The sequence below is a fragment of the Homo sapiens genome, chromosome 1 (genome assembly GCF_000001405.40).
Source record: "Homo sapiens chromosome 1, GRCh38.p14 Primary Assembly".
Classification (NCBI taxonomy): Eukaryota; Metazoa; Chordata; class Mammalia; order Primates; family Hominidae; genus Homo; species Homo sapiens.
Window position 1 is genome coordinate 37,308,095 of NC_000001.11, and position 23,164 is coordinate 37,331,258.

Consider the following 23,164-nt stretch of genomic DNA (forward strand, 5'->3'; position numbering starts at 1 on the left):
CCAAAGAAACACAAGCCGTCTCCCCCATCGTGTTGTGCCCGCTGTCACTTAATTTGAAAATATTCTAAGTGTGCAGGGCCTTCTCCTTGGCACTTTTCAGCTCTTCTCGAGAAGAGCCGGGTCCGCTTTTGTCACCAGTGTCGTTTCCTCCGCAAATGCAGCAGTGCATGAAAGGCCCAGGTGGGAATGCTGGCCAAGACGCCCTCCCGTGGCCCCCCACGCGGCAGCGCCTCTCATGCCACCCTCCGAAGAGATGAACAGAAGCCTTTTCACTGCGGTATTCTAATGCCATCATGCACGCTCGCTCAGGAGGGAGTGACGGAGGGGGAGGAAAGAGAAACAAAATAATGCTTTTGCTGTGATAACTGTCAGCTCTGCCTGCGTCTAAAGAGAACTTGTTGTTTTGCAAAATGGAACATTATCCAAATGTACAGAAGCAATAGATTGAAGCAAGGAGGCTTCCAAGATCAGAAGTTGTCTGGCTGCCCTGGGAGTTGAAGTAAACACTTGTGTCTGGACGTCTCCTCGCACCCCACAAGGACGAGTTGAAAAATGAGCCACTCTGGGAGCCTCCTTGGGACTTTGGCCAGTGCCCTTTCCCTGAAGACAGCCAGGAATCACATGCCTCGGCCAAGGAAGCTCAGCTCCCTAGCAACCTCCAAGAACAGGCAGGCCACCTGCTGGTCGGAGATACTTTGGGTCTGAAGGCAGGAGGTGGGACATAATGACCTTTAGGGGGTCAGCCTGCCTGAGGATGGCCTGTGGCTTCTTGAACACCAGCAAGTTTAAATGGCACACTGGGCGACCTTGAGAAGGTCCTCTCCTTCTCTGAGTGCCTGGCTGCCCATCTTGGAACAGGAAGCTGGCTTGGACAACCTCCAAGTCTCCCTCAGGGGTTCAAAGCAGTGGGCTTTTGGGACTAGCACCACAGTCCAGGGGTTGCCCAAAGTGTGGTTTAAGAAACAGCCACTGGGGGGTAGATCAGCCCAAACCTTTCTGGATAAGAGCAGACCTGGAGGTGGCTCATGTAATGGGAGGGGAAGATTAGACGTTTTGTTCCAAGGTGGATTCCAATGGTGGTCCATTGAGTATGAACCAAACAGGGAAGATTAGATGTTCCGTTCCAAGGTGGATTCCAACAGTGGTCCATTGAGTGTGAACCAAACGGCCTCAAAGCAACCCTAAGAAGCAGGAATTGTTCTCCCCATTTTAGAGATGGGGAAATGGAGGCTCAGCAAGGTCGAGTGACTTGCCCCAAAACCTAGGGTCATGCTTGCCACTCTCTCATGCCAACACCCCTCCGTCACCAAGCCCTTAGTTCCACCTCCAAAATACCTCTGGACTCTGCCATACCTCTCCACCCCCATTGCCACCACTGGAATCCAAGCCACCATATCCCTCCCTGGCATTGCCATGACAGCCTCCTAACTGGCCTCCCTGCCTCCAGTCCAGCCTCCCCACCATCAGCCAGAGGTCACTTTCTAAAATGCAACACCACATGATGCCTGCTTAGACCCTTCAGTGGCTCCCCTTGGGATGAAATCCAGCTTCCTTCACAGGGTACTGGATGCCCCTCAGTCACCAGCCACCTCTGTAGCATCATCTCTTACCACTTCTTCCTCACACTCCAACCCCAGCCATCTGACTCACTCTGAGCTTTTCCCAAGAGGCAAGCTCTCTTTGCTTCTGGGCCTTTGCAGATGCTAATCTCTTTGCCTGGTGCACCCTCTCCTCTCCCTACCCTTTGGTTGTATCACCCTTCAGAGCTCCCGTAGATGTCACCTCCTTCAGGAGCCTCTGTGAACCGCCCCCTGCCCCGAGGTTAATTTCCAAACCCCCTGTATTATTCCAGAGCCCCCTGCACATTCTACCAAAGTGGCCTATGTGCTGTCTGGGACCCCCACTGGCCCTTAATGCCAGAAATGCCTCATTCATCATCACACCCTGAGCACCCAGGACCATTCCTGGCACACAGTAGGCACTCCAGAACTATTTGCTGGATGAATGACTGACTGAATGAATGAATAAGTGAATAAGAGCATGAACGACACAGCCAGAGTGAGCTTTCCTTCTCCACGTATCCAAATGTGTAAAAAGCACCAGGCAAGTCCATCAATAAGGCAGGCACTCGCTCCTCGCAGCCTGTCCTTGGCTGGGAGTCGGGTGATAGATTTCCGGAGGTGATGCATGGGCGCGTGAGAAGGGTGGAGTGGACGCATGGAAGAATAGAATATAGATTTCTATAGATTAATCATTTGTCATTCCTGCCACTCGGCACACTCGCGTGCACTGTCTCTCTCTCACACACACACACACACACGCACACACACACCCACATACTCCTTCCCTACCCAGGTTTCCCTGTTCACACCAAAGAAGCACAACTCACACAGCCCTTGGACCATGCAGCAGGGGCCCACACACACACAAACACACACACCCCAAGCATCCCAGACACATTCACAGACACTTCATGCACGTTTGTGCATCACAAAAACCCTCAAATACACAAACACGTACTCTGCACCGAATCTTCCTTCACATCTTCCCTGTCACCCCACCTAGGATACACATACATGCACACGGGCCGGCGTGCAGGTGTACACTGACTCTGACACACACAGCGAAGTACACACATACTCCTCTACACAGAGTAAGTGAGAGTGCACACTTACTCTTATACACACATAGAGCTGCACACTTAGAGGCATATACTTACTCTTACACACTGAGGAACTCACTTTTTTTTTTTTTTTTTGATACAGAGTCTCGCTCTTTCGCCCAGGCCAGAGTGCAGTGGCGTTATCTCAGCTCGCTGCAAGCTCCACCTCCCAGGTTCACACCATTCTCCTGCCTCAGCCTCCGGAGTAGCTGGGACTACGGGCGCCCACCACCGAGCCCGGCTAATTTTTTGTATTTTTAGGGGAGACGGGGTTTCACCGTCTTAGCCAGGATCTTTATCTGACCTTGTGATCTGCCGGCCTCGGCCTCCCAAAGTGCTGGGATTACAGGCGTGAGCCACCGTGCCCGAAACTCACACACAAAGGTGCACACTTACTCATACACACACAAAGGTGCACACTTGCTGTGACACACACACTCTCACAAATCTGCTCTCATTGCCTTTACTTGCTCACCTTATTCCCAAGCTCCCATCTGTCTTCCTTACGGAGCTGTGAGCTCCTCCAGGACTGAGGTCAGGGCTCTGAGCACTCACTTCTTTTTCTCAGGGGAGAAAAACCACTTCTCAGACCCTCCCTGAGGTCCAGCTCTACCAGGCCCTGAGCTTCTCCTCCCCAGGGGCCCCTCTCCCACCCCAGTGAGTTCAACCCCATGCCCCATAAGGCAGATGCCTGTTCATCTATTTCTTGTGTTGGGTCCCCCACATTGCAGGTGAATGGCTGAGGGGAAGGCCAAGGCGAGCTGAGGGTGGGTTCCCCCAGTTACCTCTGCTGGCCTTACCAGTTGGGTATACATGGTTTCACATGTGCTCTGTGAGTTGCTTTCTATAGTATGCAGAGGCTGAGGAGGAAATTCTCTTACATCCCAACTGAAGGGGGAAAAGCCCTAAGCCCAGCCTTTCCCTGGCCAGCCACTCCAATTAGTGCTGGGAAGATAGAGCTTGAAGGAATGCCCCTTCCCCCAACATCCCAGAGGCCCCTGCATCTGCCCTCCCAGAGGCCCTGTCTGCCCTACCTGGAACTCCAGGCACCCCGAGGCACCTCCTCACCTTGTGGGACCATGCCCTCTACTCCAAGTTCTCACAGCATCTCCCAAAGACCCCCACAAATACCTCTTGGGGTCCCAGGCCCAGAACCTTCATGCATTTCTCCGAAGTTCAGAGCTGTTATCACACACACACACACACACACACACACAGTCCTCCAGCCTCCAGACCCACAGGCTATGTGAGTGCCCTGTGTTCACTGAAGCCTTTGGAGTTATCCTGAGCTGCCCCCTTCTGCCTCAATAGCACTTGAAGACTCTCAGCTTCTGCCCTGTTCACTCTCCTAAGCCCACCTTTCCCACAAGTTCCCCTATACTCCCTATCCCAGTCATCTGCGTAAACATGGAGTTTTTACCTTGCGCTGCCAAAAACCTAGCCCTTGACCTTCCTCCAAGCCTCCATCCTGGATTCTGGTTATTAGAAACTAAACCCTTTAAATGTCTCACCCTCCACAAAGCCCAGAAACCTAGGCACCCAGATCCCTACCTACTCCCAGAAGGGAGCTTCTCCTGAACTGCACCTGTCATAGCACAATCAAAATGTCAGTCATTACTCATTCACTTATTCACTCAAACTCTTATTATTGGCTCTGAGCTGTGTCCAAAAGGATGGTCAGTGCCTCTTCCAGGGACTCTGCCTCATGGAGCTTGCTGTCCATGGAGACCCAGGCACTCACAGAAGAGCTAGATCTAAGAGCAGAGAAATGACTCAAAATAGGAACAGGTCACTGCTGGCTGCAGGGTCAACAGGCAATGACTCCTGCCCAGATCCAGGGGCACCATCAAGACTTAAGAAGAGGCCAGGCACAGTGGCTCATGCCTATAATCCCAGAACTTTGGGAGGACAAGGTGGGAGGATCACTTGAGCTCAGGAGTTTGAGACCAGCCTGGGCAACATAGTGAGACTCTCTCTCTACACAAAATATAAATAAATTTTTAAAAAGACCTAGGAAGAAAATCTTACAATAAGGGGCCATCTGGTCCATGCCCCTATTCCCAAGAACAATGGATCCCAAGCCTGCCAAGCAGAGGGGAGCAACCCCCAAACAACCTCCATCTCTTAACCCACCCCAGAGATGCAGCAAAAATAACCAGCCCTTCCTGACCATGTCGGTTTGGTTCCCCACTTACATGCCACATACCAACTGCCACGACAACTTCATAACTTTCTGAAGGACTGGAGGGGAATCTAGGGGCACGCACAAACCCACACAGGGGACACCACTGTGGCTCAAAGGGATCATTATTTCCTCCTAGGAGTCCTTAATTATTTGCCTGGAGGAGGGGGCCCCAGAATGTAGGAACCCTAAGCTCCTCAGACCCCCACCCAGGAGGGGCTGTCTGGTCTATGGGGGGCTTCTTGTGCCCCTTCTGCTGGATTCAAGTTTCCTGGTGCCTCTTTTTCCTTCCTAGGGATCCCTCCATCCCAGCATCTCTGTGGATGCTTAGGCTGGGGCAAGGGGTTGGGGAAATGCACAGAACCACCTTCCATTGCCTTTGATCTCCGTCACATTCAAGCTGCTTCAGCATCTAACTGCCTCTCTCGCTCTTCTCATCTCCCTTTGAAGTCCTTAAGTAAAGATGGCTGTAGATTACAGCCATTACAGCCGCCTGGAGTGAGACCTTCTCAGGCTGCCTTCCTTTTGCCACTAGCCTGTCTGTTCCATCTGGAGGTTCCCGAAGCCCCTGCTCCAGGCTGGCGAATGCCAAGGCTTCTCCCTTCCACAAGTCCAGGGCATTCATGCAGTAATGACCCAGCATCTCTTTGTTTGCCTTGCTCCCATGAGACAGCTCTACAATGACTTTGCCAGCTCTCCAAGCACTAAGCTGAGCATCCCTGGGGATATAACCAAGGCTCCCAAAGCTTCCATGAATGGTTTGAGGAACTCTCCGCTGGAGTGAGGTGCCACATCACTGTCATCTGAGAGTTTAAAATCAGCCCCCCAAATTATGGTCTGCTCGGTACTGCACTGAATGGGAAGATGGCCAGCATCTCTCTCCTCTTTCTAATACAACTTTGATTTTCTCTGGGCAAACTGCCTCTTCTCCATCCTTACCGAGGTCCTTCCTCCTCTCTCTCTCTTTCTATCTCTCTCTCTCTCTCTCCATCTCTCTTTCTCTCCCTCTCTCTCTCTCCCCCTCCCTCCCTCCCTTCCTCCTCTCTCCTCTCCCCTCTCTCCATAGGCTCCTCCACCCTTCTTTGCAGCTTAATGCTCCCAATGCTACCTCTGATATGTCACTGGAAACCAGAGAAAACTTTTTAAAGCACAAATCACACCACTCCTCTGCCTTAAACCCTTCAAAGTTTTACCATTGCTTCCACAGTAAAGAATTAAACTCCTTAACTGCTTCACATGTGCTGGGATGCCAGCCTTGTCCTACTGACCCTCTTTGCTGTCCCATTACTGCCCCTTGCTCTCTCTCTGGGGTGGACTTTTGCTCAAATGTTCTCCTCCTCCCTCATTGTCTGAGGAATTCACCCCCGCAGAGCTCAGTCCACCTAGCACAGCCTTCAGGAAGCTTTCTCTGGCCCCACCATCCAGGTTAGGTCTTCCTAGGATTACTTTCTTAGAAGTGTTCTCCTTTCCTTCAAAGCACATGCTTTGGTTTTAATTAGTCACTCATCTGTGTGACTATCTGGCTAGTATCTGCCCCCACAATTCCATGAGACGGAGAAAAGACCTCGCCTGATTTTATTCAGAGTCATCACTAGGGGCTAACACACCACATTGACCCTCATGGGCACTCAATACATATTACTGATGGATGGAATGAATGAATGAATGAATGGCTGAGAAAAGGCTAATCGCTGTAGGTTTGACAAAGCTGGTAGCCCCCATCCAGGTCATCTTAACACTCTGATCATGCCATTTTATTAGACCAAACACGAGATTGGCTCCTAAGAAAAAAAATAAGAAACAGCCCCTCTTCTCAGCCCCACTTTGATTACACAGAGCAGTGCCATGGAAGGTCAAGTGCACAGACATTGGTTCAAGTCTTGATGTCAGCTCCTCCTAAAAAATCCACACTCTATGAAATAAAACAGTAATTCCAGAAGACCTGTGCCAATAAACCCAGAACTTCACAGACCAGCCCTCTTCCTGGTAGGTCTCAGCTTGCACAAACCACCTTCAGGTTTAGAACCAAGACCAGAGAAATGGGTAGACCAGGAAAATTCTAGGAGCCCACAAGAGATGCTGGAAAGGGCCAGAACCTGGAAGTCCAGACCCTTAGCTTCAAATCTGATATTCACTCTCCCAGAGCATGTCCTGGGGTTGTCATCTCCCTGCCTCATTCCAGTCCCCAAGCCCTTTGGGGGCAAAGAGCTCAGCGCCGAGGACCTTGGATATTTCTCCCCTCCTTTGAGGGTGGCAGTGGCTGTCAGTTCACTCCTGGGTCCACACCCACTCCCCCATCACATGCCCCCACCCCCTGAGCTCTGGCTTTTGTTCTGGAGAAATCATGTTCTTCGATTCTGCTAGAAATTAAGATGCACTCTAGTTGGTTAGTCACCCCTGCATCACTAAAACCAGGGGAAAGAACCTGCTTCTTGTCTTCCAACTCTCTCCTCCAAAGGCCTTTTCAAAGGGAAAGGGAAAAACCACACAGCGACATCCCCTTGCAGCTCCAGGTGCTTTAATGAATTCCAGCCTTCAGGGAGAACGACGGCTGTGTTAACGGTGCTGGTGAAAAATGAGGGGAGGAACAGGGAAGCAAATTTCTTTTTATTGACTTTTAGTGAGCTATTTAATCCAAACAGCTCATTATCTGCAATATAAATATACTATATAATGGATTTTGCAATAAGAACAATTAGTTTTGCAATTAGCATGAGAATAAGCTCTCCCCAACTGCAGAGAAGGCAAGGCCTAGGCATTGGGGGTTGGGGAAAGCTGGGTTGGAGGAGGGGTGTGAGGAAGAGAAGTAAGAAAGCAGCCTTCCAGGTGAAGAAAGCAGAGCCCTGTCCCCCTCCTCCACTCCATATCCCATGAAGGTCTCAGATCTGCAGGGATATTGCCAGTAGACAAGATAGCAGAGTCACATTTGTTAAAACATAGGCTTTCAGCAGAGCTGGGTTTAAGGCTCAGTTCTGTCACTTCTCAGCTGTGCAACCCCGGGCAAGTCACTAAAGCTCTCTTCAACTCAGCTTTCTCATTTGAAAAAATGGACATCACAGTAGTACTTCTTTATAGAGTTGTTATGAGGGATGACATAGGGTGATGTACCAGTCTTTGGCATAGAGTACATCCTTGATAAATGCTTCCGAGGGTGCTGAGCTGGGATTTCTTTGCATCTCCTTGGCCAGCCTCCAGGTAGGAAGGAATTTTGTCTGTCTTTCTCACCACTGAATCCCTAGTGCCTGGCCCAGTACAGAGTGGGCACTTAATAAATATTTATTGAATAAATGTTGTTAAGCAAAGGAAACTCAACGGCTGCTTGGCCCGGTGCCTGGTACATAGTAGGCCCTTAATAAATATTCGTTGAATAGATATTGCTAAGTAAACGAAACTCAGCAGCCACTTCCCTCCTGTCACAGGGCAGCAGCCTTGTCTCAGGAAGCCTTGCAGATAAGCATAGCGGCAAAAATCAGTCTGCAAAACAAAGTGCTCTCTGCAGACCCCATGTCCAGACACAATTTCATGAATTTCCGAGCCCAGCTCTCTCTGCTTTCTGCCTTAGAGTCAGGGTATCCCACCAATGTTCCTTCTTCTCTGTGGCCAGGTGCCTTCCTGAACACAGCTTGGGTTCAGCCCTGTCCCTCCAGCTGCGCCCAGTCTCCTGCCCCTGCCCTGGACTGGAATGTGGGACATACTGGAGTTCATAGGCAATGGGAGAAGTGCTCGCATTGTATTCCAAAAGCAAAGGGAGCAGAACTTTGGGATTTTCTGAATAATCCCAAACACAGGTAAGCGCAGTAGTAAACGCACTGACACTTAGCCAGACAGCCTGGGTTTGTATCCAGGAGCTCCGTTTCCTAAATATGTGACACTGGCAGGATCTTTGATCTTATTTGACTCATCCATAAAATGGGAATCATAATAATGTTCATTATCACCCAGAGTTTCGGGAGAATTAGATGAGAAATCCATGGGAAGCACTAGTGTTTGTTCCACAGTGAGGTCTCATCAAATGTTAATTACCATTGTGGTTACCATCTTCTGCGGTAGAGTATCAAGACCACACATAGACCACATGCCTGGGACCCAACTCCACTGCTTCCTGTCCTCTCTCCAGCAAGCTTTGGTAAAGGTGTTTCACCTTGGTCTCAACCAGCTAGCAGGTTCACTTTCAGATACTTCACACACACGATGGCATCTAAGCCTCATGTCTCTACGAGTTGGTTTAGGAATTGTGCAAGTGAGGAAGTCAAGCCTCAAGGAGGTGCAGGACTTGTTCAAGGTCATGCTGCTGGCCACTGATGGAGCCTGGACTCAGCTCCAAATCTTTCTAAACTCCACCCTCTTCTTCAGGAGCTAAACATGATTCTGAAGAAATGAACAAAACAGCAAAGAAGAGAGTCCTTTTGCTCTTCCACTAAGTCCCCAGATGTTTTGCCTGGTGCCCTGGTGCATCGTTGCTACAGTGGCAGGAGCAGGACTTAGTGGAGGAAAGAGGATGGGGCCGTTAACGAGTTCCAGGATCCCCCCAAGTCAACCCCTGGGACATACGGTCTAGCGATATCCAAAGACAGACTTCCTGTGCTCACCATGGAGCTCCTGACCTCCTGATCTTGGGCTGAGGCTGCAGTGGCCTTCAACCCCCACCAATGGCCAGCTACAGAGGGATACTCAAACATGTGGCACACACACAAATAAACAGGCAGAAAGTGAAGCTTCCCTGTACAAGAGCACACCGACAAGGAAAGTTCAGCTACAGCCCTGCTGAAGAAGGAAGGTGGCGAGAGGTCCCCCACCCAAAAGCAGAATGGATTCTCTCTGGATACAATGGCCAAGAACGTTGGCTCCAAGGATGCCCAGCCCCAACCTGAGCCCCAGTTCCGTTATTTGTCTGTTTTGTGATCCTGCACTAGTCACTTGTTCTTCCTGAGCCTCCGTTTCCTCATCTGTAAAGAGGTGATGGTAATATTCTACTTCCCGTGACTGGAGCAAGATAAAGCCTGGGAAACACAAACACTCTCTTGGCACCTACCCAATGGCAGCTCTCACTGTCACTATCACTCTTGAAAAGACGGGGGCCGCGTGTGGCATCGTGCCCTCTCCCCGTCTCAGCTTCCCGCCTGTGTGAGACATTGGGCGCGGTGGTGCCCAGGGCCCGGGCCCTTCCTCCTCCCGTTGCCCTTGCCCTCGCTCCCCCCTCTCTGCAGCCTCCCCGGAGCCGTCTGCGTCGTGTCCGGCTGAGCCCCGTGGCCCTTTCTCAGGAGAGCAGAACGGAGTGCTGTTAGTCACGGTGTGGAGAGGTGCAATCCATCCGAAAAGGCCAGCGGGACGCGGAGAGGTCATCTCCATTACAAACTGGCTGTGATTAAGCCATTACTTACCGTAATGGGATCCTTGCAGTCGTAGGTGATGCCTGCCACAGCCGATAAGCCGCAGCGGCCACCGCGGCCCGGCAGGCTGCAATAACACAGGCTCTCCCCTCTGTGACAGGTTCAAGCTCTCACGCTCATCGAAAAGTCCATTTTCCAGCACAACTGGGTACACTTCCCCATGACAAATGCCTGTTCGCCTTTAATCTGTTACAAGCCGAAGAAGCCCAAAGGAAGCACTCCATCACGGGAAGAATGTTTTTATAAGCGTGCTCTTTGAGGGCCCCGAGTGAGGGGCTGCGGCAGCGCGGGGACGCGGGATGGCTGCACATTTACGGGGAACGACGGCGGGGGTGGGCACAGGCAGGTCCAGAGCTGCCGCTGGGAGGAGGGGTGTGCCCATGGTGTGTGGGTTCGGGAGGAGTGTGTGGGTTCACACAGGCGTGTGGGGGTGTACCTTCATGTGCCTGTGCTTCAGGAGGGTGTGGGGGCGTCTGGGAGGGTGTAGAGGTGTCCACGTGTGCTCATATGTGTGAGTGCACGTGTGTGTCTGTGAGCCAGGGCAGGAGGGGGATGTTAATATCTACAGTGTGTGAGGAGATAAGTGCGGGGTGGTGGGGTTCAGATACGTGTTCAGGATCCTGGAGCTTCTACAAGCGTGTAAGAGTAGAGGTGTGTAAGTGTGTGTGTGCTTGCATAAGGGTCTAGGTGTGTGTCTCTGGGTGTGTGTGTGTCCCTGGCTGAGGGCCCAAGTGTGTGTGGGTGTGCCTGAGTGTGTGTGTGCCTGTCTGTTGGGGGTGTGCGTGTGTATGGGTCTGGGTGAGGGCCTGGGTGTATGTGTGTCTAGGTGTGTGTGTGTCCCTGGGTGAGGGCCTGAGTGAGTGTGTGTGCCTGTCTGTTGGAGGTGTGCGTGTGTATGTGTCTGGGTGAGGGCCTGGGTGTATGTGTGTCTAGGTGTGTGTGTGTACCTGGGTGAGGGCCTGGGTGTGTGTGTCTCTGGGTATGTGTGTGTGTGTGTCCCTGGGTGAGGGCCTGGGTGTGTGTGTGTCCCTGGGTGAGGGCCTGGGTGTGCGTGTGTCTCTGGGTGTATGTGTGTGTGTCTCTGGGTGAGGTCCTGGGTATGTGTATATCCCTGGATGAGGGCCTGGGGGGGTGTGTGTGCCCCTGGGTAAGGGCCTGGGTGTGTATGTGTCTCTGGGTAAGGGCCTGTGTGTGTGTGTGTGTGTGTGTGTGTGCGCGTGTGTGCCTGGGTGAGGGCCTGGGTATGTGGGGCGTGTCTAGGGAAAGACCTGGGCATACATTCCTGTGCACATGATAGAGAGGGTATGTGTGTGGCATATATGTGATCATTCACGTGTCTACCTGAAGAGGGACAGAATGAGTCTAACTGACAAAACCAGCTTCCCCAGGCCCCACGAGTGATTATTTTCTTGCAGTCCCCAGGGCCTCCTGAAAATGTGGGTGTGGCCCTAAGCACAGGCCCTTAGGACCTCATAGTTCACGCCAAGGTTGTCCCAACACCTAGGAGGTTCCTGGGAGGCTGGGGATGCACCCTGAACTGGGGATTGGGAATGAGGAAGGGGGCATCAGTGCCCAGAGATCCTCTCCTTCCAGACTAGATTCTGGGTGCAGAGTCAGGGCTCCAGAGGATCTCAAGATCCCCCTCTCAGAAGGGGCACTCAGTTCCGGGTTGACACTAAAGCCTACAAGAGTCATGTCCATCTGAGGATGGCCACGGGGTGGGAGAAGTAGGGCAACCCTGGAGCAGCCCACAGAGGTACTGGTAGTGCTCAAGCCGCCTGACCAGCCTAGAGTCTGCCAAGGCCAGAAGAGCCAGACCTGGAGACAGCCAGGATGCAGGAGAAGGGTGGCTGCCTTGTGCCCAGGAGTTACTAAAAGGGACGCTGCAGCCTAGGGCTCTGCAGTTTTCTGGTCTGAGGAATGCGCCCCTGGTGCTGGAGGGAGATGGAAAGAAACATGCACCAAGTACCCAGCATGTGCCCCACCCTGTGGGAAGTGCTTTACAAACTTGGTCTCATTTCATGATCATCAGTATTGATACCACCATGCACTCACCACCAGCAGGCACAGGCACTGTAGCAAGGGGTCTACACTCAGAATCCCCCTGGATTTTTCTTAAGAATCTTTACTGAGGACCCATTCTGTGCCCACCAAGGACTTTGAGTACATTATTTATTATGATTATGAGCATGATTATTATAAATAGCTATCACTAGATGTTGGTGGGAATGCAAATTAGTACAGCCACTATGCAGCACAGTATGGAGGTTCCTCAAAAAACTCAAAATAGAACCACCATATGATCAGCAAGCCCGCTACTGGGTATAGATCCAAAAGAAAGGAAATCAATACATCAAAGAGATAATCTGCACTCCTGTGTTCATTGTAGCACTCTTCACAGTAGCTGAGAGACGGAATCAACCTAAGTGCCCATCAAGAGATGAATGGATAAAGAGAATGTGGAATACATACACCATGGAATATTATTCAGCCATAAAAAAAAGTATAAAATCCTGTCGTTTGCAGCAACATGGATGGAACTGGAGGCCATGAGGTTAAGTGAAATCAATTAGGCACAGAAAGACAAATATCACATGTTCTCACTCATAGGTGGCAGCTTAAGAAGGGGATCTCATGAAGATAAAGAGTATATTAGTGGTTACCTGAGGTCAGGAAGGGGAGAAGTGAGGGGTATGGAATAAATAAATAAATTGCTACCACAAATTGACCCCTTATTCTGTGCAAAGTATGTGCGTGTGATTCACACACATGATCTCATTATATGAATAGTAATAGCAATAGCCAACGGCTGATTGAGCCCCTAATGTGAGCATTATGTCTATAACAACATGACGTCCTCCCTGAGGAAGGTGAGGGTCAGGGCCAGGCAGCCAAGTGCTTTGGGTCCCACCACCAACCAGCAGAGGATCCAGCATTAGAACTGTGGCCTGCCTTCCAGAAGGCTCCTTGAGGGAAGGTTCTAGCAAGAATATCTCCTTTGCCTGCCTCTCACCCTGGAGCCTCACACCAGCTGAGCAGACGGCAAAACCAGGGTGCACTTGCTTGCGGACTGATGGAGACTGTTAAATTCATTCAACAGTCAGGTCCGTGGGTGGAAACCACCCAAGTCCTCCACTTAATAGAAAAAAGTAATAAGTGCTAAGGAAAACCTCCTGACCTCAGTATTCATATCAGAAAACATCCTGCAAAATAAAAACAGTAGCATCTGTAAACTGTTTCACCTTTCCGCATATTATGGTGCCCAAGGTTGCACACTGGGGAATGTCAGAGCCAGGATTCAGCACAACTCTCCTTCCCCACCCATGCTCTTAGAGATCCAGGACTGGGGAGAGCATGACTTATTTTTCTCTGTTCCAAAGAGGATATTCTGGAAACGTATGATTGTGTCTGCTGTTGAATGTGTAGTCTATTTTATAAAAAGGTATGTGCAAAAGGAGTGGCCAGGGTGAGCCCCGGATGAAGCAGAGGATGGAGAGGAGACACAGGCAGGAGTGGGGACTTGTGACTTTGAGGTCCTGGGGGCTGTGCCCTGGGGTTGGTGGATGTGAGAGCAACAGAAGACAGGAGTTTCCTGGGAGCAATTATTCTACTTGGAAGAGGAGCAGGAGGCAGAGGAATGGAACACAAATTTATTGAACATCAACTGCGAGTCAGGCACAGTGCTAGGCCCTTACCTTCCTAATCCCATTTAATCACCCCATCCACAAAGCAGACAGAAAATGTCCATCCCACAAATGACAATGCTGAAGCTCAGAGAGTTTAAGTAAGTTGCTTAAGATCACACAGTTCATCAGCAGGGAAACAGAATACAAAACCAGATCAGGAGAGCTTATTCTCCTATATGTCAAACTTTGTGCACCTGACTTCCAAGCCTTCCTGCTGTAACTGTGGGCCTGGAGCCTCCTCAGCCCCAGAGTCCTCAGCCTTCAGCTCCCCTGTGAGCACTGCTCATCCTTCTGATGGAATTTGGAATCTTGTTGGCCTGAGAGCCGGGGACCTCCATTCTCTGCCCCAATTTTCCTTCCCAAAATGCTAGCCTGAGACCCTCTCTCTGGTCTTTGAAGGAGCTGTCCACTCTCCCCAGACCCTCCCAAAGCCTCTCCTTTGCTGGCCTGGGCACCCACTGCTCTCACAGCACATGCTCTGGGTGGAAGGAAGCAGGGAAGCTGCTCTGCTCCCTCGTCTCTTCCCCAGTGGATTTCTGCTCTGTCCTGCACATTCTATGGAGGAAAAGGGTCCAACTTTGACCGTCTGGGACACCTTCCCAGCAAGTGTCCTCTTCTCCAGATCATGGCCCTTTCTGAGTTATACCCTCCCCAGTGGGCATTTAGCTCATTTCTGGAACTAAATGGCCAGTGGCTGGCCTGGTCAATGGACAAGTTATACTCCTATTCATCCTTCAGATCTCAGACCAAACATCACTTCCTCAGGGAAGGCCTCCCTGACCCACCCGCGGACGCTCATTGCACTGTAAATTTGTCCCTCAGATTATTCTATACAATATCCAACCAAATCATACATAACATCATTCAGCGTTCGGTATTTGCCTCCCCTAATGAGCTGTGCACGCCATGGAGGTAAGGATTCTGTGTATCTTGTTCGACTATGAATCCCAGGCATTCTGCACACGATAGGAATGCAGTAAATATTTACTGAATGAATAATGAATGAATGCTCCAGACAGAATTGGGGCTCCCTCCTCTGGGCTCCCACAGTTCTCTGGACACAGCTTCTTTACCACTCTATCACACTGTGCCATAAGCCTCTATTTCAGAGTCTCAAACTCACAGCACGAGAGTCAAACCAGGCCCACAATTTTAAAGTAAGAGATGTTTTATATATATATATAGATAGATATAGATATATATATATATAGATATATATATATAGATAGATAGATAGATAGATATAGATAGATAGATAGATATAGATATAGATATAGATATAAAACCTAAACATTTAATTTATCTTGAAGAATAGGAAGATATGGCAGTGTTGTGCCACATTCCCACCTTGCAACAATCACGTGGAACTGAGTGGCAGCTGCCACCCTCTAGGTGGGGCCCCAAGTCTCCAGGTTGCCCCTCCCCAACTCCCTGTTCTTCTTACTCAGACCCAATTCACCCATCTCCATTACCACCCTGGCCATGGAAGGCACTTGGGTTTGTGACCCCCCTCTCTGTTTCCATAGCCCTTCCCCTTCCCTCCCCCGGCTGAGCACTCCCCTGCATGGGGTCCACACGGAGAAGATGCACCTCAAGGTTGGCTGAACGAGTGAACAAAAGCCAGAGCAAAAGGAAGCTACAGGGAGTGGTGACACCAAGTGGAGTGAACCTGAGTGTTGAGAGAAGAGAATGCCTTCCCTGAGGAATGGGAGCACCGGATTAGACGCTCTTTAGGGATTAGTCCAGAAAAGATAATTGAGTGTACCAAACACTTTGTATTTTGTCTCATTAGCTGCTCTGATGCTTGCCATGCTTAAAGTTGAGGGTGGTAAGTAGGTTAATCTCATTGAACTGGTTTAATAAGTAGAAATCCATTTTTAAATGTCTCCCAAGGATGGAAATCTTTGCTATGGCCCGGCTCCCCAAAGCGGCCTGGGACTCTACTGCCACCTGGTGACAATGAGTGCATATTGCAGGAAGAGTGTACTAAAAAGACAAGTGGTCAAGAACCTGGACCCTCCCCTGCCAGAAACAACCCTGAAAAGGGGACCCGGCGCCGTGGTTCACGCCTGTAGTCCCAGCACTTTGGGAAGCCGAGGCAGGCAGATCACGAGGTCAAGAGTTCGAGACCAGCCTGGCCAATATGGTGAAACCCCCGTCTCTACTAAAAACACAAAAATTAGCTGGGCGTGGTGGCAGGCGCCTGTAATTCAAGCTACTCAGGAGGCTGAGGCAGGAGAATTGTTTGAACCCAGGAGGCAGAGGTTGCAGTGAGCCGAGACTGCACCATTGCACTTCAGCCTGGGTGACAGGGCAAGACTTCGTCTCAAAAAAAAAAAAAAGAAAGAAAGGAAGGTAACCAGTGGAGCTGAAATTACTGGTTTAAAGGAGGAATTAAATTTAGTGCAACTCAAAACACAATTACCTAGTATTTGAGGTATCTGAGCTTGGAGTTTCCAACCCTCTGGGAGCTTCTAACTATAATCACGACAGACATACATAATTTACTCTAATGCAAAGTAGACTGAGGCCCAGGTCCAGAACTGTCAAATCCTTCTGCATGTGGGTGCTTCTGCTCAGCTTGAACTAACAACCAAGAGCTGGCAAATATGGACCAGGCACCAAGTAAAGTGTTTCTTACACATTTTTCTTTTCTCCAGTAAACCTTCACAACAATCTTCTAAAGTCCTATTATTACCCCATTCTACAGGACAAGGAAATGGAGGCTCAAAGAGTTGACATCAAGTGCCCATGGTCAAGAGCTACCATGAGCAGCAGAGAAAGGACTCAGGTCTGGCTTAGGTCTGGCTGACTCCAGGCCCTTCACTGCTTCTCTATAGTTTCCTATCTGCTCTAGACCCAAGGTAACCTCTTTGAAATTCCAGAGCTCACCCAAAACCAGCATCTCCCCTACCTGTAATTCCTGGAAGGACGGAATAGCACAAAGAGGAATGTTAGAACTTCCCACCTCATACCTTGGTTGTCTCCCTGTCCTTTCTGTCCTCTCCTCCTCCGCCTCTGTTCTACAAGACCCTCTGGGGCTCTTCTGGTCCCTGCCTGCCCCAGGGGAGGCTAGCTGCCTGTCCTGAGTCTGGATCCCAGGATTTTGGTCATCCCCATGCCAAGTTCACATCCCATCTGGTGGCATGGAGCCTGGTTTGCTGATCGGCAAGTTCACAGCATGAGCCTGTGCTCCCCAGAGAGAAATACAAAACCATAATTGTCCCCAGATTGGCTTGTGTTCTTTGTAGAAAGAAACAATACACAGCCTTTGTGTTCAAAAGAAAAAATTACTGAAACAAAAAATTTCCAGTTCACACTCTTTTGAATTGAGAGAAATAAGTAAACACTATTTCCCAAATCTATGTTCACTGGGAAGCCTCCTTTTATTATATTTATGCAAAAACATGAGCCAAATCTCATCCTACGCTGATATAAGACACATTTGATAATAAAATGCAAACGCTGTTTGCAAAGAATTAGAGAGGATCAAGTTCTGGTCTATTGTGAGGACTAGTTTTAAAATTAAGACTTTTAAGCTTCATGTATCCCAATTTTATTTTGCAATAATCCATGCCTTCAACTTACCCTGTTTATATTTGCTCCGAAAAATGTAGCCAAAAATTCACTGAACATTGATTGTGAAAAGGGTAACTCATTATCTGCTTTCATCCAGAAATAACAGAGAACGAAAGAAAGGTGTTTGCTTGTGTTCCCACAATTCTTTGGGAAATATTTGCTTTCAGACATTTTGTAATATTGTGACGTGTGCACATTTCTGCATGGAAGCTTTGTAATTTTTAAAAAGATACCAAAAGGAGCAGAAAGGAGACTAAAGGTTTGCACCTGTGCCCAGGTCACAGCAGAGCCTAATCTGCATACTCACCTGAAGGATTATGGGACATTGCCATAGCCCTCCGATGAGCATTGACACGAGGGGTCTCCAAGCAAGGAGGACTTTGGGAGGTTGCTGGAGGGACGTTGCATACTAAGCCCCATGGCCATGAAAGGAATATAGAGAGACCACCCCTGGTGCTAAAAAGGACACTCTCAGGGGGAGAGGGAAGGCTTACAGGAAAGCTACCCTAAGCCAAAAAGTAAGTAAAAGTATATGACCCACTATAACAGTGGAAGCCAGTGGCTTCCTCAATGGTATAACAGACAGGCTAGGGAGCCCCAGTGCCTGCTGACCAGTGTCCTGGGTTTCAACCCCCCGGCTTCTGAATCTCCCCCTTTGCTTAGGAGTTGAGCCTAGCCCACTTGGGATTTGCATTCACTGCCTGACCAGCGCCCCATCCCATTTCTATTCCTACCTCTCCCCTTGCCTTCCCTTTTTCATCTTCCGTTCATCCATCTTGCTAACTGACGGATGTGTTTCCATTACTGCCAACATTCACATTAAAACTCTCTGACCTTTATGTCGCTTTTTTTCTGTTCTTTCTAGAGCACTTTTACTTACACGAATGCTTCTTCAACTGAATACACACAACCCTTGGGGGCTCCCACCCGTGGGCCAGGGAGTATGCAGAGCCACATGACAAACACGGCCCATCTTGCTGGCACTGAAATTACCCAATGATAAGTAACTTAAAACACTGTGTTAAAAGAAACAACATGGATACATTATGGAGCAGAATGCAAAATGCACCTGAATTTTTAAGCTACAGTAAGACTTCAAATAAATTCTGAGCTTGTGGCTATCTGCTTTAAGCTATACCCTCAAACCCCAGGATACAGCTTACTCTCTTTTGCCATTAGGTTTTGCTTTAGTGGAAAAGCTGGAGAAGCTCTGACTTAATTTATCACATAAAATTCTCAAACTAGGCCAGGCATGGTGGCTGACGCCTGTAATCCCAGCACTTTGGGAGGCCAAGGCAGGCAGATCACCTGAGGTCAGGAGTTCGAGACCAGCTTGGCCAACATGGTGAAACCCCATCTCTACCAAAAATACAAAAATTAGCCAGGCATGGTGGCAGGCGCCTGTAATCCCAGCTACTTGGGAGGCTAAGGTAGGAGAATCGCTTGAACCTGGGAGGTGGAGGTTGCAGTGAGCCAAGACCACACCACTGCACTCCAGCCTGGGCAACAGAGCAAGACTCCATCTCAAAAAAAAAAAAGAAAAAAGAAAATTCTCACAACAGCCCTTTAAAAAGCTAAACAGTTTTAGAGATGGAAAAATAGGGACTCAGAGATGCTTAGCAACTTGCCCCGGGTCACCTAGCAAGCAGGTGTCAGAGCCTAATGTCTATCCAGCTATTCTGGCTCCAGGCAGGATACTCATTCCATTGCAAGGTATCGCCAGGTGCCTTGAACTTCCCGAGGCAAGAAGACCCTGGAGACAGGTAGCAGGGTGGCCAGGGCTGGGGTGGCTTCAAAACTCACAGACAAGCAGATGCTTCAAGTCTGGGAAGCCTAAGCCCAGGTGGCTGCAATTCTGATGTCACCTAGATAAGCCACTGTCAACTCTGCCATCCCCTTCCCCAGGCTCAGAGGCTGAGGACAGAGAAGCTGGGGTTGTGCCCCAGTTCTTTCTAGTAAGACTCAAAGGACAAAGGGTGGGCCCAGGGAACATGGGTGACCCTGGCCTCATCCTCAGTGCCCATTGCTGTCAGGGCAGGGGCTCCAGCTTGCAGCACTCTGGGCCCAGCAGGATTCTATAGACTGCTGCTGAATTGGCTGGGACAGGATTGAAAACCCCACACCTTTCCCACTCAGCCACCCTCTGTGAGGTTATGGCAGGAGTCCCTTCCCAGAGTCAGGAGGCCTAAGTTCTAGCCCAGTTTCTCCAAAAGAAGCTCAGGCCAGGCCCTCCTCCCTCTGGCTCTGGCACAGCGGGGCTCACTCAAGCACAGTGATTGAGCTCAGGGGTTCTCGAGCCAGAGCTACCTGGCTTCAAATTCCAGTTTTTCCATGAACTAGCTGTGTGGTCTTGGGTATGTTACTTAAGTGCCTGTGCCTCAGTCTCCTCACCTATAAGTGGGGGATGCTATGTGTGCTTACCCTCAAAGGCTCGTTGCGAGGGTTAAGTGAGTTAATCCACATAAGGCAATTAGAACTGTGCCTGGGCCAGGCGAGGTGGCTTGCGCCTGTAATCCCAGCACTCTGGGAGGCCGAGGCGGGCGGATCATTTGAGGTCAGGAGTTCGAGACCAGCCTCGCCAATATGGTGAAACCCCCGTCGCAACTAAAAATACAAAAATTTGCCTGGCATGGTGGTGGGCGCCTGTGGTCCCAGCTACTCGGGTAGCTGAGGCAGGAGAATTGCTTGAACCTGGGAGGCAGAGGCTGCAGTGAACGGAGATCACCCCAATGCACTCCAGCCTGGGTGACAGAGTGAGACTCCATCTCAAAAAAAAAAAAACAAAAAAAAAACTTCGCCTGGACCCAGTCAGTGTTTGGTGAAGGTGAGATGTTATTATAGTAAAACGGAGGACGAGGGAAGGTAGGGTGGCCCCAGGGACCCTCCCCAACTCCCCGTCCTTGCAGCAGAGCGTCTCTGACTGGCAGATAGGACGGCCGCCCATGCACGGCCACCTTTTTTTCTGGCTCCTGCTATGTCAGACTTAAACAGCTGCCCCAGAGTCAACTGCCACTTCCCATCTCTCCAAGACCCAAGGATTGAGTGAGAAAAGCGTCAATGAGAAATCACCAGGGCCCACAGCCTCCTCAGCAACCCCTCCCAGGTGCCATTCCTCAGCCACCCAACCCCCAGTCCCACAGCTGAGCATTCGTTCAACAATGATTTAATGAGCATCTACTCTGGGCCAGAAATTGGCTGGGGCATGGAGGATAGCATGGTGAGCAAAACCAGGCATGGTTTCTGTGCTCACAGACTCAGCGTCTAGAGCAAGACAATAAATAAATACACAGTGGGATGACAGGCAGTGGTAAGTACACTGTCAGGGTAAACCAGGGGAAGGGGAGAGAGATGGGAGAGGTGGTTTACATAAGGTGGTTAGGAGAGGCCTCACTAATAAAAAAAAATAGGAAAATATGTCTTATTATAAATAACATTTATAATATAATTATATAAATAATATGTAATATTACATGTAATATTTATTAAGAAATAAAGAAAGTGATTATAGGATTGCATCTGAGTGAATGGCATTCCTGGCAGAGGGACGAGCACATGCAAAGGCCCTGAGAACGGAACAGGCTGAGGACTTTGGCTTTTATTCTCAGTGTGAGAGGGTAGATGACTCTTTAGAGCAGACAGAATAGGAGATGTCAATCACATGATAATCCGGAGTCCAAAGGAGTCCAGAGTGTCCAAGGTCACCGACCACCCCAAAGTCCCTTCCAATTCTATTGAGACAGAAAAAAAAAATAGATTGCACAGTAGCCCAAAGGATGTTAAAAGCTCTGTTTTTATTATTAGAAAGAAAAAAAAACCATGAATGAACACGGCCTCCTCCTCACACCGAACAGTTGTATTTAATGTACAGATCACAGAGGCAGGTAACTCATACATGGTTAGTAGCAAATGGAGAAATCAAAGCAAAATAAGTTAAAAAAGAGACACAGCAGAGGAGAATATTCCTCCTAAATCAGCCTTTTTAAACTGCTGCAGGGCACCCTGGAGGGTCCCATGAAATGCCAGGCACATGCTTGTCAGGATTTCTGATGCAGGTGTGGCCCCACCAAGGGCATACATGGGTTCGCCTCTGCCTCCTTGGAGTTTAAATTATCACTACTCAGAGATGTCTGCTGCTCACGAAGCACTTACCACAGGCTAGGCATCACGCTAGGTATCTCATCTGTGTTGTCTTGTTTAATTCCCAAAAAATCCTGGGAAGTAGGGATTATTTTCCCCATTTTAGAGATAAAAATACTGAGTCCCAGAGAATTTAAGAAGCTTGCCTGGGCCGGGTGTTGTGGCTCATGCCTGTAATCCCAGCACTTTGGGAGGCTGAGGTGGATGGATCACCTGAGGTCAGGAGTTCAAGACCAGCCTGGCCAACATGGTGAAACCCCGTCTCTACTAAAAATACAAAATATTGCCTGTGTGTGGTGGTGCATGCCTGTAATCCCAGGTACTTGGGAGGCTGAGGCAGGAGAATTGCTTGAACCTGGGAGGCGGAGGTTGCAGTGAGCCAAGATCGTGCCACTGCGCTCCAGCCTGGGTGACAGCGCAAGACTCTGTCTCAAAAATTAATTAATTAATTAATTAATTAGTAAAAATAAGCTCGCCTGAAGATATGCAGTTTAAGGTAACTCAAAACCTGGCCATTTCAGAAGATTTTGTAAGATCTTGGTTAAAAGTGAAAAGGTTGGCCCCGAAATGGGGGATTTGGAATGTTGAGGCCAAGCTTTGAAGAGCGGAAAGGAGAAGAGATGCAAAACATTTCCTGAGCACTTACTATGGGCTGGTGCAATACAAGGCATCTTTTTACCGTGTCCTGTTCAGTCCTCACGATTATGCTGTAAGATGAGGATTGCTAGTTTTACCTGAAGGGTGAGGAAACTGAAGCTCAGAGGGGAAGGAGGAATGTACTTGCCCAAGGTTGCCAGCTAGTAAGCCCAGAGCCCAGATCTGAGCCAGGTGCATCTGGCTCCAGAACCCACAGCTACTGCTGCAGCTGGTCATGGCACCAGCCTGTGAGCTGGAACCAGCCTGTCCCAGGAATCACAGTGCCTGGGATGTGACCCCAGCTTTTCCAGTGACTTGCTATGTGACCATGAGCCCATCACTTCCCTCTCTGGGTCTCAGTTTCCTCATCTGTAAAATGAAGGGGTGAACTCCAATGCCCCCTTGATAGTGAGCCTCTGAGCCTATGAGGAACAAGAAACAAAACGCACCTTTTCCTTTTGCCTCGTTACACTTCTGAAAGCAAGATGGGTCACCAGCAGCTCTACTGGAGCCACCAACAAAAATTCGGCCAGGGTTCTTGCTCTTGTCACGTCTGCTCAAACCAGCAGGGTCTGATCCAGAAATACGGCCTCCATGTGTGCAGCTATGTTTCTGTCGGAGGATGTAGGTAGTCTTCATGAAGCTGGCCTTGAGTAGATTAGCCAAGGCACCCACTCAAGGAAAGAAATCATGCTAGCTCTTTGTACATAAAATAATTTTTTTTTTTGAGATAGAGTTCCGCTCTTATTGCCCAGGCTGGAGTGCAATGGCGTGATCTTGGTTCACTGCAACCTCCATCTCCCAGATTCAAGTGATTCTCCTGTCTCAGCCTCCCATGTCGCTGGGATTACAGGCATGCGCCACCACGCCCGGCTAATTTTGCATTTTTTTA

General features: G+C 49.6%; 1 pseudogene, besides 3 other annotated features; it reads left to right on the forward strand.

Moving 5' to 3' along the window:
- Positions 5,039-5,558: an enhancer, noted in NCBI's record as "NANOG hESC enhancer chr1:37778734-37779253 (GRCh37/hg19 assembly coordinates)". NCBI's record gives its function as "activates a minimal SCP1, AML or CMV promoter by ChIP-STARR-seq in primed H9 embryonic stem cells {active_cell/tissue: H9 hESC(primed)}" and the evidence as "EXISTENCE:reporter gene assay evidence [ECO:0000049][PMID:30033119]".
- Positions 8,360-8,860: an enhancer, noted in NCBI's record as "H3K27ac hESC enhancer chr1:37782055-37782555 (GRCh37/hg19 assembly coordinates)". NCBI's record gives its function as "activates a minimal SCP1, AML or CMV promoter by ChIP-STARR-seq in naive H9 embryonic stem cells {active_cell/tissue: H9 hESC(naive)}" and the evidence as "EXISTENCE:reporter gene assay evidence [ECO:0000049][PMID:30033119]".
- Positions 9,593-10,167: an enhancer, noted in NCBI's record as "NANOG-H3K27ac-H3K4me1 hESC enhancer chr1:37783288-37783862 (GRCh37/hg19 assembly coordinates)". NCBI's record gives its function as "activates a minimal SCP1, AML or CMV promoter by ChIP-STARR-seq in primed H9 embryonic stem cells {active_cell/tissue: H9 hESC(primed)}" and the evidence as "EXISTENCE:reporter gene assay evidence [ECO:0000049][PMID:30033119]".
- On the forward strand, positions 22,758-22,885 carry RPS29P6 (ribosomal protein S29 pseudogene 6; annotated as a pseudogene).